This window comes from Homo sapiens, chromosome 17 (assembly GCF_000001405.40).
Source record: "Homo sapiens chromosome 17, GRCh38.p14 Primary Assembly".
Classification (NCBI taxonomy): Eukaryota; Metazoa; Chordata; class Mammalia; order Primates; family Hominidae; genus Homo; species Homo sapiens.
Window position 1 is genome coordinate 75,950,189 of NC_000017.11, and position 15,471 is coordinate 75,965,659.

Genomic DNA, 15,471 nt, shown 5'->3' on the forward strand with positions numbered 1-15,471 from the left:
GTGATCTACCCGGCTTGGCGTCCCAAAGTGCTGGGATTACAGGAGTAAGCCACCACACCTGGCCTTTTTTTTTTTGATGGAGTTTTCGCTCTTGTTGCCCAGGATGGAGTGCAATAGCGCAATCTTGGCTCACTGCAACCTCCGCTTCCCAGGTTCAAGCGATTCTTCTGCCTCAGCCTCCCAAGTAGGCCGGGATTACAGGCAATGTGCCATCATGCCCGGCTAATTTTTTTGTATTTTTTTAGTAGAGACACGGTTTCACCATGTTGATCAAGCTGGTCTTGAACTCCTTACCTCATGATCTGCCCACCTCAGCTTCCCAAAGTGCTGGGATTACAGTCATGAGCCACTGTGCCCAGCCCAGTAACTCTATCCTTGATACAACTGCAAGCTATGTAACAGGTGCTTCATACTCTCTAGCCTCACCACGAAATAAAAACCGTGAGTCAGGATGGAAGGCAAAAGTATACCTTTCAGGAACAAATATATATATACGGTGAAGAAAAACCATGGGAACAAGAACCTAGGAAAAGGACTAGAACATTCTTATGAACAGATGGGAGGAATCGAGGATTTGACTCTCACCTAGCCGTCTGGAGCATCATGACAGTGTTTTCTCCCTCAAAGGTACAGCTTGGGGTGAAATTGACATAAATATTTGGAAGACCACTGCAATGAGAATAGCCATGCCCACCACAAGCCATCCGACATGCTTCAATGCCAGTGTTTGCAGTCCAGGAGGTGAAAGCCTTCAGTCCAGCGGTGAGGGCATGAAGCTGAGAGGACAAGCACAGATCTGTCAGGACATCTGTGGTGCTGAGAGCCCGAGAACCAATGAGAAAACACACCCCTCCTCTAACATCTTGGCCACTGTCAAAACACAGCTGCCACACATGCAAACTGAAGAAGCACAGCTGTCCGACTGGCCAGAAGAATACAGAACACTACCCATGCCCATCTAAGCTGTTCTACTTGGCTAAACATTCACCACTTACATTTCCTTGATTGACAAATAATCAACATGGTACAGTATTTCTGATAACACTAAAAATACTGAACAACAAACCCCACAGATCTTCATATCTGATCTACTTTCAACCAGAAGAAGTTCTCAGAATACATACTTCTTTTCAGGAAATACCAACATTTAGTTATCTCTGGACCTCATCCAACAGGCAACCACGAAACAGAAGGGTGCCCATGAGTGAATGAGACCAAACTCATACCTCAGGCAGTTCACTCAGGTCCCCTTGACCAATGCCTTCGTTAATCCGGTGATAGGTCTCCTTCATGTATGCGCCCACAAACTGGAAGGCATAGGCAGTGGCCAGGAGTGGAAAGAGTTTATACTGCTGGGTTTGAAAATCCAAAATCTGTGGTTCTGGTTCACTACGTGACATAGAAAAAGAAAAAAAGTAGTAAGTAAATGTTTATACAGAACTTTCTATATGCCAGGTTCTAATCTAAGCACTTGGTATTTTAACTTATTTAGTCCTCTTAAGGGCACTGTGAGGTAGTTACTATTACTATCTCCATTTTACAAATGGGAAACTGAGAGGTTAAGAATCTGCCTGAGGTCACACAGCTCGTATGTGGCAGGTCTTAGATTTAAATTGAGGCTTTTTTTTTTTTTTTTTTTTTTTTGTGATGGAGTCTCCCTCTGTCACCCAGGCTTTAGTGCAGTGGTGCGATCTTGGCTCACTGCAAGCTCCGCCTCCCAAGTTCAAGCGATTCTCTTGCCTCAGCCTCCCACAGTGGTGGGATTACAGGCATGAGCCACGGTGCCTAGGCTATTTGGCTCCCTAAGACCATGCTGTAATTACCTTGTACTGCGTAGGCTGACAGAATTTTCTGGCTGCAAAGTCCATATCTGTCCTAGTCTTTCCAGTATGACTAAGAAAACCGTAGCTCATAGCAACATACAAAACCAACGCTAGTCAACCTAATAAGAAGGCAATGCCAAAAAGCTCTACTCACCAGATGGCTGAATACATTGTATTTTGACCACAATCTTGGAGAAGACCCAATGGATGGTGTTAAATATTTTGAAGTGTAAGAATTAGCAAGGGTCTCATTGTATCAATTCCTTTATTCCTTTTTAAAAATGTAATTATTATTATTATTTTTTGAGATGAAGTCTCTAACACCCAGGATGGAGTGCAGTGTTGTGATTTCGGCTCACTACAACCTCCACTTCCTGGGTTCAAGTGATTCTCCTGCCTCAGTCTCCCGAGTAGCTGGAATTACAGGCACCCGCCACCACACCCAGCTAATTTTTGTATTTTAGTAGACGTGGGGTTTCTCCATGTTGGCCAGGCTGGTCTTGAACTCCTGACTTCAAGTGATCCACCCGCTTTGGCCTCCCAAAGTGCTGAGATTACAGGCGTGAGCCACTGCGCCTGGCCTTAAAATTTAATTAACTTTTAATTTTTTTGAAAATAGACCAGCCTGGCCAACATGGCGAAATTCCGTCTCTACTAAAAATACAAAAATTAGCTGGGCATGGTGGCGTGCACCTGTAATCCCAGCTACTCAGGAGGCTGAGACAGGAGAATCACTTGAACCCAGGGTGGCAGAGACTGCAGCAAGCTGAGATCGCGCCACTGCACTCCAGTCTGGGCAACAGAGTGAGAATCCATCTCAAAAAAAAAAAAAAAAGAAAAGAAAATAGAGACAGGGTCTCACTATGTTGCTCAAGTTGGCCTCAAACTCCTAGGCTCAAGTAATCTTCTTGCCTTAGCCTCCCAAAGTGCTGGGATTACAGGTGTCAGCTACCACACCTGGCCAGTTTCTTTATTCCTTAGGAGTAAAAAGAGTATCAGGGAGTATCAGTGAAAGGCAGTTGTAGGAATAAACTGTGGCTATGAATGCAAAAGGGAAACAAATTTAATGTCACTTTCACCATGCACAATTTACAGTTGCTAGTAGTAATCAGAACTTTCAAACTGCCTTTAGTGTGTTGAACATTTCACTTATAAAGTTCAAGTAATATTATTACTATTTTTCTTAAAAAGTTAAAAATAATAAGGTGGGTATTCTCTTTTTTTCTTTTTTGGCAGTCACTGATTATAGCAAGGGTGGTTATTTCTGTCTTTCCTCTTAAGAAAAGGAAGCCTAGATATGAAATTACAGGCCCAGTTATCACCCTAGCCAATTTTGCAGTGCTAATGCATCTTCTGTATTGACATTTGGGAATTCTGGGATCTGAATGGGGTAAAAACTAGGCCTTTGGTACTGAGCCCATCTAGGACCCTATCCTTACCCTGGCTTGATTTCAGACTGGTGCCTCACAGCGCTGTATCGGATGGCAATGGTGCACGCCTTAGACAGAGCCCGAGCAGCTTCTCCCACAAGGAAGGACCTGACAAACACCATGGTCCCGTAAGTCAGCTTGTTACTCAGCGGTTTCACGTATGTGCCATCAGGCTTCACCTGGAAGAAGAACGTGGAACTGATACTTCCTTCTTTTAAGCCCAAGAGGCAGTTCAGTGGTTCTCAAAGTGTGGTCCCTGGAATAGCAGCATCAGCATCACCTGGCAACTTGCATGAAATACTACATCTTAGTCCCCACCCTGACCAACTGAATCAGAAACTCCAGGGTAGGGCCTAGCAACCTGGGCTTTAACTGGCCTTCCAGGTGATTCTAACGCATGCAAAAGTTTGAGAATCATTGGTTTAGCAAATCAAAATATGTCCTTCAACCCTGACAACTGTTTCTGATTTCACTGTCGCAGTAAAAGAAGCATCAGAGTGGGCGTGATGGCTCACGCCTGTAATCCCAGCACTTTGGGAGGCCAAGGCAGACAGATCAAGAGGTCAGGAATTCGAGACCAGCCTGACCAACATGGTGAAACCCCATCTCTACTAAAAATACAAAAATTAGCTGCGTGTGGTGGCACGTGCCTGTAATCCCAGCTACTCAGGAGCTGAGACAGGAGAATCGCTTGAACCTGGGAGGCGGAGGTTTCAGTGAGCTGAGATTGCGCCACTGCACTCCAGCCTGGGTGACAGAGCAAGACTCTGTCTCAAAAAAAAAAAAAAACCAAAAAATGCTGGGTGCGGTGGCTCATGCCTGTAATCCTAGCACTTTGGGAGGCCGAGGCAAGAGGGTCCCCTGAGGTCAGGAGTTTGAGACCAGCCTGGCCAACAGGGTGAAACCCCACCTCTACTAAAAATACAAAACAATTAGCTGGGTGTGGTGGCGCATGCCTGTAATCCCAGCTACTTGGGAGGCTGAGGCAGGAGAATCGCTTGAACCCAGGAGGCGGAGGTTGCAGTGAGCCAAGATCACGCCACTGCACTCCAGCATGGGTGACAGAGACTCTCTCTCTCAAAAAAAAAAAAAAGGGGCATCAGAAGGAAAAATGCATTATTAGCTCCTTTTTTTTTTTTTTTTTTTTTGAGACAGAGTCTCGCTGTATTGCCTAGGCTGGAGTGCAGTGGTGTGATCTCGACTTACTGCAACCTCTGCCTCCTGGGTTCAAGCGATTCTCCTGCCTCAGCCTCCTGAGTAGCTGAGATTACAGGCGTGTGCCATCACACCCGGCTAATCTTTGTATTTTTAGTAGAGACAGGTTTTCACCATATTGGTCAGGCTGGTCTTGAATTCCTGACCTTATGATCCATCCTCCTTGGCCTCCCAAAGTGCTGGGACTACAGGCATGAGCCACCGCGCCCAGCCTTATTCCCTCCTTTTATGAGACGGAGTCTCACTCTGTTGCCAAGCTGGAGTGCAGTGTCATGATCTCTGCTCACTGCAACCTCCGCCTCCCGGGTTCAAGCTATTCTCCTGCCTCAGCCTCCTGAGTAGCTGGGACTACAGGTGCGCACCACCACGCCCAGCTAATTTTTTGGTATTTTTAGTAGAGATGGGGTTTCACCATGTTGGCCAGGATGGTCTCCATCTCTTGACCTCATGATCTTCCCGCCTCAGCCTCCCAAAAGTGCTGGAATTACAGGTGTGAGCCACTGCGCCCAGCCTCCTTTTTTTTTTTGAGACAAGGTCTCACTGTCATCTAGGCTGGAGTACGGTGGCATAATCACAGCTCACTGTAGCCTCGGCCTCCCAGGCTCAAGTGATCCTCCCACCCCAGTCTCCCAAGTAGCTGGGACTACACACGTGTGCCACCATACCCAGCTAGATTTTTTTACTTTTTGTAGAGATGGGTTCTCACTATGTTGCCCAGACTGATCTTGAGCTCCTGGGCTCAAGTCATCCACGCACTCAGCCTCCCAAAGTGCTGGGATAACAGGAATATGCCAGTGTGCCCTGCTGTTATTACCTTCTAAAAGAACAGACCATTCTAACCCTATTGTGAGTAACAGCCACTCAACTCCACTGTTTGATGCCTCTGCTTTATTTTCTATCAAAACATACCTGGGCATACTTCATCAGCATGTTTTCTCTGGGAATACGATGGTTGTCCATTTTGAGGTAGCCATTGTCTATCTCATCATAACCAAATTTGGGGCCGATGTCACCAACGGTAATTCCTACCACAGATGAAAGGACAGTCACGAGATGTTTATGCTCTGGAATTTCTGGCTTTTGCTCCGCCTCTTCAGTTGGGCATTCTACCTTTTGCAGAAGAAAGTGCTCAGTTTCATTTTCATCTCAACATCAGATGAACAGTTCTTACCTGGCAAAGGCTTATGGGTCCCGATTTCACGAATAGGTACGATAAAGGCATGTAATCCATAGCATTTCCCCTTAGTGATGAGCTGGGCAAGAACTATTGCATGATTTGAAGTCTTTCCAACTGTAATATCAAAGAGAACAAGGGAGGGGTGGGCAAACGTTCATACATTTTTAAAGGGTAGAAAAAAGAAGAAAGAATATGTTAAATCTAACACTAGACTAAACCAATAGTATGTGTCCAGAAAGCCTTTCTGCTGACAGCATCACACCTAGCTTTCAGAAAGAAATTCCCTTAAGCTAATAGTTATTACTTTCTTTTCTACTTATTTCTCATACATTTACGTAGAGAAAATTTTAGGATAAAAATAAGAATATTAATTTAAACTACTTCCTTGTTATCCCTTAAGGCAGTGCTGTCCAAAACAGTAATCACTAGCTACATGTGGCTTCTTACATATAAATTATAAATAAATAAAATATATAATGTGAATAACAAAATCCTTCAACCACTAACTGTATTGGAAATATATATTCCAAGATAATAACTCAGAATGGAATAAGAAGATATAAAAGTTTCGGGTCAGCCGGGCACGGTGGCTCGCGCCTGTAATTCCAGCACTTTGGGAGGCCGAGGCGGGCAGACCAGAGGTCAGGAGTTTGAGACCAGCCTGGCCAACATGATGAAATCCCATCTCTACTAAAAATACAAAAATTAGTTGGGTGTGGTGGCACGCTCCTGTAGTCCCAGCTACTCAGGAGGCTGAGGCAGGAGAATCGCTTGAACCCAGAAGGTGGAGGTTGCAGTGAGCGGAGATCACACCACTGTACTCCAACCTGGGTGACACAGTGAGACTCCATCTCAAAAAAAAAAAAAAGTTTGTGTTAAAACTATTTAAATTTTTTTCTTTTTTTTTTTTAAGAGACAGGGTTTCACTCTGTCACCCAGGCTGGAGTGCAGTGGCATGATCACAGATAGTAGCTCACTGCAGGCTTGAACTCTTGGGCTCAAGTGGTCCTCCCACCTCAGCCTCCTGAGTAGCCAGGACTATAGGTCTATAGGTATGTGCCGCTATGCCTGGCTTTCCTCTCTCTCTCTCTCTCTCTCTCTCTCTCTCTCTCTCTCTCTCTCTCTCTCTCTCTCTCTCTATATATATATATATATATATATATATATATATATATACACACACACACCTCTCTCTGTCTATATACACACACACACACCCCTCTATGTACACACACCACACACACATATATTTGTTTGTTGGGTTGTTTTTGAGACAAAGTCTTGCTGTGATGCCCAGGCTGGAGTGCAATGGTGCAATCTTGGCTCATTGCAACCTTCCCGGGTTCAAGTGATTCTCCTGCCTCAGCCTCCCAAGTAGCTGGGACTACAGGTGTGCGCCACCACACCCGGCTAATTTTTGTATTTTTAGTAGAGATGGGGTTTCAGCATATTAACCAGGCTGGTCTTGAATTCCTGACCTCAAGTGATCTGCCCACCTCAGCCTCCCAAAGTGTTAGGATTTCACCACCAAGTCTGGCCGACATTATCATAAAAGCTCTACATTCTAAGCAAAATCTCATGACAAACCTTCAAAACATCCAATAAATGCTGAAAAATTCACTTACGCCCACCAGGCCACCATTTAATGGAGGTCACAGTAGGACTGTTGAGAATGAACTCCTGGGTTTCAGGGTCATACGTGGCTGTGGTTTCCAAGCCTCGAAGGTGAGTTCCTAAGGAGATAAATTACATTGACTTCAGTTAAGAGATGGGGAAAAAAATAGGCACAAGGAAAAATTTCCTGCACAGTCCTTTAAACTCTCATATCTCAGAGAAAAACAAAATCTAACAAAAAACACCTGTAGATGAGCTACAACTGGTTGATAACCAAGACACTGAATTTCCCACACTATCTGATGGTTTCCTATTAAGTTGAAAATCTAAGTGTCATGCATGTTCCATTTCTGTATTTGATTTGTTACATTTATTTACAGCAACTGAAAGAAAATATAAAGGCAACTTAGAATCACATTTTTAAGATCACAATATATGAATTTAACAGGGATGTTAACTGTCTTTTTAAACCCATCTCTGAGTTGCAAGTATGCCAATTTCAAGTCATATGTATTGTGTTAACCACACCAATTCAACATTCTTGAATTCTGTACTAATGAGAAGAATGAGATAACATGTGAGAGGAAGACATTTCAGCCAAAATTCGTATAAATTAAAAATGTATGGCTGTGCGTGGTGGCTCATGCCTGTAATCCCAGCACTTTAGGAGGCCGAGGCGGGTGGATCACGAGGTCAGGAGATCGAGTCCATCCTGGCTAACATGGTGAAACCCGTCTCTACTAAAAATACAAAAAATTAGCCAGGCATTGTGGCATGCGCCTGTAGTCCCAGCTACTAAGGAGGCTGAGGCAGGAGAATTGCTTGAACCCGGGAGGTGGAGGTTGCAGTGAGCCAAGATTGTGCCACCGCACTCCAGCCTGGGTGGCAGAGCAAGACTCCATCTCAAAAAAAAAAAAAAAAGAAAAAGAAAAAGAAAAAGGCCAGGCACAGTGGCTCAAGCCTGTAATCCCAGCACTTTGGGAGGCCGAGGTGGGGGGATCACGAGGTCAGGAGATTGAGACCATCCTGGCTAAAGTGGTGAAACCCCGTCTCTACTAAAAAAACAACAAAAAAATTAAAGCTGGGCACGGTGGCTCACGCCTGTAATCCCAGCACTTTGGGGGGCCAAGGCGGGCGGATCACAAAGTCAGGAGATCGAGACCATCCTGGTTAACACGGCGAAACCCCGTCTCTACTAAAAATACAAAAAATTAGCTGGGCATGGTGGTGGGTGCCTGTAGTCCCAGCTACTCGGGAGGCTGAGGCAGGAGAATGGCGTGAACCCGGAAGGTGGAGCTTGCAGTGAGCTGAGATCGCGCCACTGCACTCCAGCCTGGGCGACAGAGCACGACTCCGTCTCAAAAAAAAAAAAAAAAAAAGTATAAAAGTATAACTGTTATTGGGGAAATGACCTGAAATGTGACTTTTAAAAATTCCTAAAGGTCCAATAATAAGGTCTCAGTTGACCCTAGAGATTTCCAATGGCAGGCCTAACTTAGTCCTGCTGGTTCATTAATGTGGCAAGGAAGAGTTTCCAGTTTCTTATGTGTACTGGGATAGACAGGATCTTATGTTTTAAATCTTAACACAAATATATCAAAATTATTTGAAAAGAGTCATAGAAAAATGTTCTAGGTGGCAGTCTCTACAAAAATACTGTACTAAAGCAAACGTTGGGAACCTTTTACCAATCTGCTTTCATAACGCTTAGACCTCATTAAACACACTTTGAAACATTTAGAAGCTTCCAAGTTGAATAACCAACTTATGTGCAATCCACAACTTTCCCGAGTGGGAGTCAACAAATCAGACACAGACATCTTTCATCAAAGAAGCAGCTTTTACAGAAAAGCAGATAACATTAAACAGAACAGATAAGGACAAAATGTTTTCAAAAGCACAACTGAAACAAATAGTATTCCACTTGGAGTCTCATGAAAATCCTGTAAAATACTATTCAACACCAAATAAAAAGCAGCAGCTGTATAGAAATAAGGAGCAAGTGGCAAATACACACTAGACCAGTTTTTCTGAAACGTCAGAGCAGAAAAAGAGAAGCCATAAGCAAATGAATGGCAAACACGGACCCAATTCAGAGAAGATACAAAGAGGAACAGCGGCCACCTCCAGCCCACCCAGGTGCATGAAGAAAGCAGGTGGGGGGTGGAAAGATCAATGAAAGGTGGAGATACAGAGTCTGAAACCAAATGCCTGCAAGTTCGGCTTATCTTGGTTTTTTCACTCTCCAGCCAAGTCACTTGCAGAACTACTGATTGACTCAAAGTACAAATAACTCCAAAATGTCACACACGTCAGTTATAAGCTACTCATTTCCCTCAAGCAAATCCAAGAGTACACAAACTATTATTTGTATTTCTTCTGGAATTTGTACTCATTAAGGTATCAGTAGTAAAGGTAATCAGATAGTAATGAAGAAAAAAACAGCTTCGGGTTGTATATGCACACAGATTCTATACAACCTCAGTAACATTGAAAAACCACTTGGTAAATAAGGCCTGATTTGCAATTCTTGACCCTCTGAAGGGGAACTATGGTATAAAAAGGACAATCATTTTATCAGTATCATGGTCTTTAATTCCCACTCACCAAAGCAGTGTTTATACCAAAACCTGGACTCTGCAGAAAGAGCTCATTTAAACAGACCATAGAACATCGACACACCATCGATGGCACATGGTGGGCACTCCACACATGGTAAGCTCACAGGGGCCCGCCCAACCCAGAAGGTAGACTGAATACTCCATACCATGACCCATCTCTGTCTGGGCATAAGTGCCAATGATCTCCAAGTTCCAGGCGGGCATGAAGAAGCGCTCCTGCTGCTCCGCAGTTGCCTGGTGAAGCAAGGTGGGCAGGAACATGCCCAAGTGAAGATCCAGAGGCTCAGGCCGCCCTCGGTGCACAAAACTTCGAGGAAATATCAAGGATGGGCATTTGAGAGAAGAGTCATCAGGTGTGAGAGAATCAGCAATTTAAATAGAGCAAGGGAAGGAGACAAAAAAACCTTAAGTATGAATTAGTTGCGTGCACTTAATCATAGATGGGAGCACTGTCCCTTTCTGTATTACTTTATAGCTCTTGTTAATTTCCATTTTTCCTGAGTCGGCAAGGAGTACGAGGACAGGGATTGGTTACTGATTCCAAAGCCAATGCAGCACAAAACCACACGTGCAAGGCAGAGGATCCTCGCCCAGGAATTAAATCAAAGGAAATAAAGAAAATTTGAGAGGCCAGTGCAGTGGATCATGCCTACAATCTCAGCACTTTGGGAGGCCAAGGCGGTCAGATCACCTTAAGTCAGGAGTTCGAGACCAGCCTGGCCAACATGGCAAAGCCCTGACTCTACTAAAAATACAAAAATCAGCTGAACGTGGTGGCGCCAGCCAGTAGTCCCAGCTATTTGGGAGCCTGAGGCAGGAAAATCGCTTGAACCTAGGAGGCGGAGGTTGCAGTGAGCCGAGATCATGCCCACTGCATTCCAGCCTGGGTGACAGAGTGAGACTCTGTCTCAAAAAAAATAAATAAATAAATAAGAGAGAATTGGCCAGGTGCAGTGGCTCCCACCTATAATCTCAGCACTCTGAGAGGCCGAGGTGGGTGGATCACCTGAGGTCAGGAGTTCAAGACCAGCCTGGCCAACATGGCGAAACCCTGTCTCTACTAAAAATACAAAAATTAAGCAGGCATGGTGGTGCACACCTGTAATCCCAGCTACTCAGGAGGCTGAGGCAGGAGAATTGCTCCAACCCAGGAGGCAGAGGTTGCAGTGAGCTAAGATAACACCACTGCATTCTAGCCTGGGCGACACAGTGAGACTCCATCTCAAAAAAAAAAAAAAAAAGAGAGAGAGAATTTGAAAAGTTGTATAGGGCCAGGCATGGTGGCTCATGCCTGTAATCCTAGCACTTTGGGAGGCTGACGCAGGCGGATCACTTGAGGTCAGGAGTTTGAGACCAGCCTGGCCAACATAGTGAAATCCCGTTTCTACTAAAAATACAAAAAAAAAAAAAAAAAAAAAAGGCCGGGCACCGTGGCTCATGCCTGTAATCCCAGCACTTTGAGAGGCCAAGGTGGGCGGATCACCTGAGGTCAGGAGTTCAAGACCAGCCTGACCAACATGGTGAGACCCCATCTCTACTAAATATACAAAATCAGCCAGGTGTGGTGGCACATGCCTGTAATCCAAGCTACTTGGGAGACTGAGGCAGGAGAACCTGGGAGGCGGTGGTTGCAGTGAGCCGAGATCACACCACTGCACTCCAGCCTGGGCAACAGAGCGAGACTCTGTCTCAAAAAAAAAAAAAAAAAAAAAAAGTTGTATAGAATGGAGAATTTGCTGGGTGTGGTGGCATGTGCCTGTAATCCCAGCTACTTGGGATGCTGAGGCAGAATCGCTTGAAGCCAGGAGTCGGAGAACAGAGAATTTGAGTGGTACTGGTACAAGGATTTCCTCTGATGAGAAAGCGAGACAGAACATAGTAGTTCTCTCAGAGTGACAGTATGACCCCCAGATTATAGTTTTTCCTCGATGCAATTTCAATAATGCTTCTAGGCTGGGATTTTTTTTCTGTTTTGTCCACAAAACATCCAGCGTAGAACCATATTCCTCACATAGCTCTGATCATTTCATTCAGATTCATCATGTCAAATATTCGGCCACGCTCTACTGAAACACTTTAATACAAAAACTGACAGTGCTCTTCATCCCAATAATTTATTTCAGAAATTAAAAAAGACATGCAATTTCTAGTGAAGACCATAATAACGACAAGTTACAGATTCATGCATAAGCTCTCCGTGACAATTATACAGAAATTATCATTAATGATAATAAACAGCTTTATTAGTTTTAAATCAACTTTCTGGGGTCATTCTTTTCCACTTAAAACGTGCAGGGGACAGGATTCTGTGTGAATTTTTGCTAGGGATAGGAAGTCGTTCTATAGGCCTTTGCATTTTTCCACATTACTGGTATTCTGTGTAATTGCCAGCTCCAAATCCGTCAACTCCATATTGCTCTTATCATTCTATGTGTCTTTGAAATGAGCATAAATGACAGTTCAGTTTTTAAATTGCTGTTTGTTCCTTGCAAGGTAGGGAGGAAAAGAACCAGGGCACACTGCTCAGACAAGTGCTAATCAATGACTTCTTCCAATCTAGTGGCTAGGCTTTCAGCTAAGCAATCACACTTTAGAAAAAGAAAAATCAAAGTATGTGTGACTGAATCCCTCATTTTACAGAGGAGAAATTAAGGCTGAGATGAATTAAATGCCTTGCTCAGGGAAAAAAGAAAATGGCAAAACAAGGACAAGAATCTCGTCACCATGGGAGCTGAGCAAGGGGTAAAACATGGACATGCAGAATGGAGTAACAGACACAGGGGCCAGGCGCGGTGGCTCACGCCTGTAATCCCAGCACTTTGGGAGGCCGAGGCAGGGGGATCACCTGAGGTTGGAGTTCAAGACCAGCCTGGTCAACAGGGTGAAACCCCATCTCTACTAAAAATACAAAAACTAGCTGGGCGTGGTGGTGGGTACCTGTAATCCCAGCTACTTGGGAGGCTGAGGCAGGAGAATCACTTGAACCCAGGAGGCAAAGGTTGCAGTGAGCCACGATGGCACCACTGCACTCCAGCCTGGGCGACAGAGACTCTGTCTCGAAAAACAAAAAACAACAACGAACAAAACAGACACTGGAGGCTCCAGAATGTGGAAGGATGGGAGGGGTATGAGGCCTGAAAAGTTACCTACTGGGTACTATGTTCACTATTTGGGCAATGGGTACTGCAAAATCCCAGACTTCACCATTACATAATATATACATGTAAGGAAATGGCACTTGTACCCCCTAAACCTATTTTTTAAAAAAAGAACCACCTTGTCACCTCGTCCTGTCTCCTAGCTGGGGAAATTACTGCACAAGCATAGCATGGACTAAAGACTGTGACTGCAGGCCGGGCGCGGTGGCTCACACCTGTAATCCCAGCACTTTGGGAGGCCAAGGTGGGCGGATCATGAGATCAGGAGATCGAGACCATCCTGGCCAACAAGGTGAAACCCCTCTCTACTAAAAATACAAAAATTAGCCAGGTGTGGCAGCGCCAGCCTCTAATCCCAGCTACTCGGGAGGCTGGGGTAGAAGAATCCTTGAACCCGGGAGGCGGAGGCTGCAGTGAACGGAGATCGTGCCACTGAACTCCAGCCTGGCAACAGAGCAAGACTCTATCTAAAAAAAAAAAAAGACTGTGACTGTAATGAAGATGCTAAAAAGACATGCTGAAAAAGCCAGGGCTGTCCTTAGAAGCCTCAAAAATGGAAATCCCACAAGGTGTCACCACTGGTAGAGACTCCGTGACGGGTTCACAGGGTTTCCTGGTACTATTTTTGTAACTTCCTATGACTCTACAATCATTTCAAAATTAAAAAAAAAAAAAGGCCAGGCACGGTGGCTCATGCCTATAATCCCAGTACTTTGGGGGGCCAAGGTGGGCGGATCACTTGAGGTCAGGAGTTCGAGACCAGCCTGGGCAACATGGTGAAACCCCATCTCTACTAAAAATACAAAAATTAGCTGGGCATGGTGGCAGGCGCTGGTTATCCCAGCTACTCAGGAGGGTGAGGCACGAGAATTGCTTGAACCTGGGAGGCAGAGGTTGCAGTGAGCCAAGATCGCACCACTGCATTCTAGCCTGGGGGACAAGACTCCATCTCAAAAAAAAAAAAAAAAAAAAATTAATAGCGGAAATCCCAAGAAAAACACATTCATGGGATGAGAGTGCCTTTCACTCAAACAGAAATGTCAACTGTCCCCAGCCTTTTGAGTACTGTCTAGGAAGAAAATTCAATGTGCACTTAGAACCTGGAAGGTGAAAACTGAGTTAGGACTGAAACCTGGGACCAGACACTTTTCATGCTTTTATGGAAGGTTATTTTACTTCACTAGAAATCAGAGCAATTCCTGGTGAAGGAAAGGCCACTATCAAGCACCCATCAGCCTCTGGAAGATTTACATCTGAGTGTACCACAGAGTGAAGATGCACGCTAAGGGTTACAACAAATGCGCTCAGTAGGGCAGGGGTAAAACCACTATAATCACAAATGGTTCTGACACTAAAGAATGTTTTCAGGAAAAAAATATTTCTTCCAAATAAGACAAGGATTATTCAGATGTGGATGAAATTTAGAAATGTTACAAGGAGAAAGTGAACTGCATAGTTTTTTGACTTAAGCCAAGTATTTGTTTTAAAAGCTGCTTATGCATGATAAAGATATTATTTTTAAATAATTTATCGTAAAATTACGAAGCACCAACATTATACTTAGTGAAGGGCTAGAGTCAGCTCTTTTAAAACCAAAACATCAAAAGGCATCCCCAGCCTCTCTTTCCACATGATACAAGGCTGGAAAGGCTGACAATCAATACTGAGGAAAAACCAATTAGACTAATCATATATGAGAAAGGAAGAAATAAAAAGCAGCTCTGTAGAAAGCATGAGTATCATCCTAGGAAATCAATAATGTCAACAAAATACCACAATAAGTGAATTGAGAAAAGCTGCAGGCTATAAGGGAAAAAAAATTAACAGCACTCAGGCGTGGTGGCTCACACCTGTTAATACCAGCACTTTGAGAGGCCGAGGAGGGCGCATCACGAGGTCAGGAGATTGAGACCATCCTGGCTAACACGGCGAAACCCCATCTCTACTAAAAATACAAGAAAATTAGCCGGGTGTGGTGGCGGGCGCCTGTAGTCCCAGCTACTCGGGAGGCTGAGGCAGGAGAATGGCGTGAACCCAGGAGGCGGAGCTGGCAGTGAGCCGAGATCGCCCCACTGCACTCCAGCCTGGGCGACAGAGCGAGACTCTGTCTCAAAAAAAAAAAAAAAAAACCCAGAAAAAAGATAAATACCTAATAGGGTGGGAAAAAAAGATAAAAATAACAGGAAAGAAATAGCTTCCCAAGAAAAGACAAGGCTTCAATATAAAACTAACTTAAAATTCCAGATAGAGAAGGAGAAAAACACATTTAATTCCTGTAGAATTTTTTTTTAGAACCTGACAGATTCAGATCAGAATTCATCTAGAATAAGCAAGCTTAAATACCAAATACACGTATCTTGAAATGTAACAACAGTAGGCTTATCCTATCAGATTTTTAAATACCTTACAAGCCTGGGCAACACAGCAAGATCC

General features: G+C 44.3%; 1 protein-coding gene across 5 annotated transcripts in view; it reads right to left on the reverse strand.

Annotated features, from left to right (window-relative positions):
* ACOX1 (acyl-CoA oxidase 1) overlaps positions 1–15,471 on the reverse strand; it is a 37,660-nt gene that overhangs the window by 8,682 nt on the left and 13,507 nt on the right. For 3 of the 5 annotated variants that reach the window (NM_004035.7, NM_001185039.2, XM_047436182.1), the window contains 7 exons: positions 10,027–10,187; positions 7,271–7,378; positions 5,640–5,759; positions 5,378–5,493; positions 3,263–3,432; positions 1,227–1,389; positions 586–776 (listed from right to left, as the gene is read on the reverse strand). In NM_004035.7, coding sequence (NP_004026.2) covers positions 586–776; positions 1,227–1,389; positions 3,263–3,432; positions 5,378–5,493; positions 5,640–5,759; positions 7,271–7,378; positions 10,027–10,187 — 1,029 coding nt within the window. The remainder of the gene's footprint in view (positions 1–585; positions 777–1,226; positions 1,390–3,262; positions 3,433–5,377; positions 5,494–5,639; positions 5,760–7,270; positions 7,379–10,026; positions 10,188–15,471) is intronic. The other 2 variants (NM_007292.6, XM_047436183.1) reach the window with 1 other exon arrangement.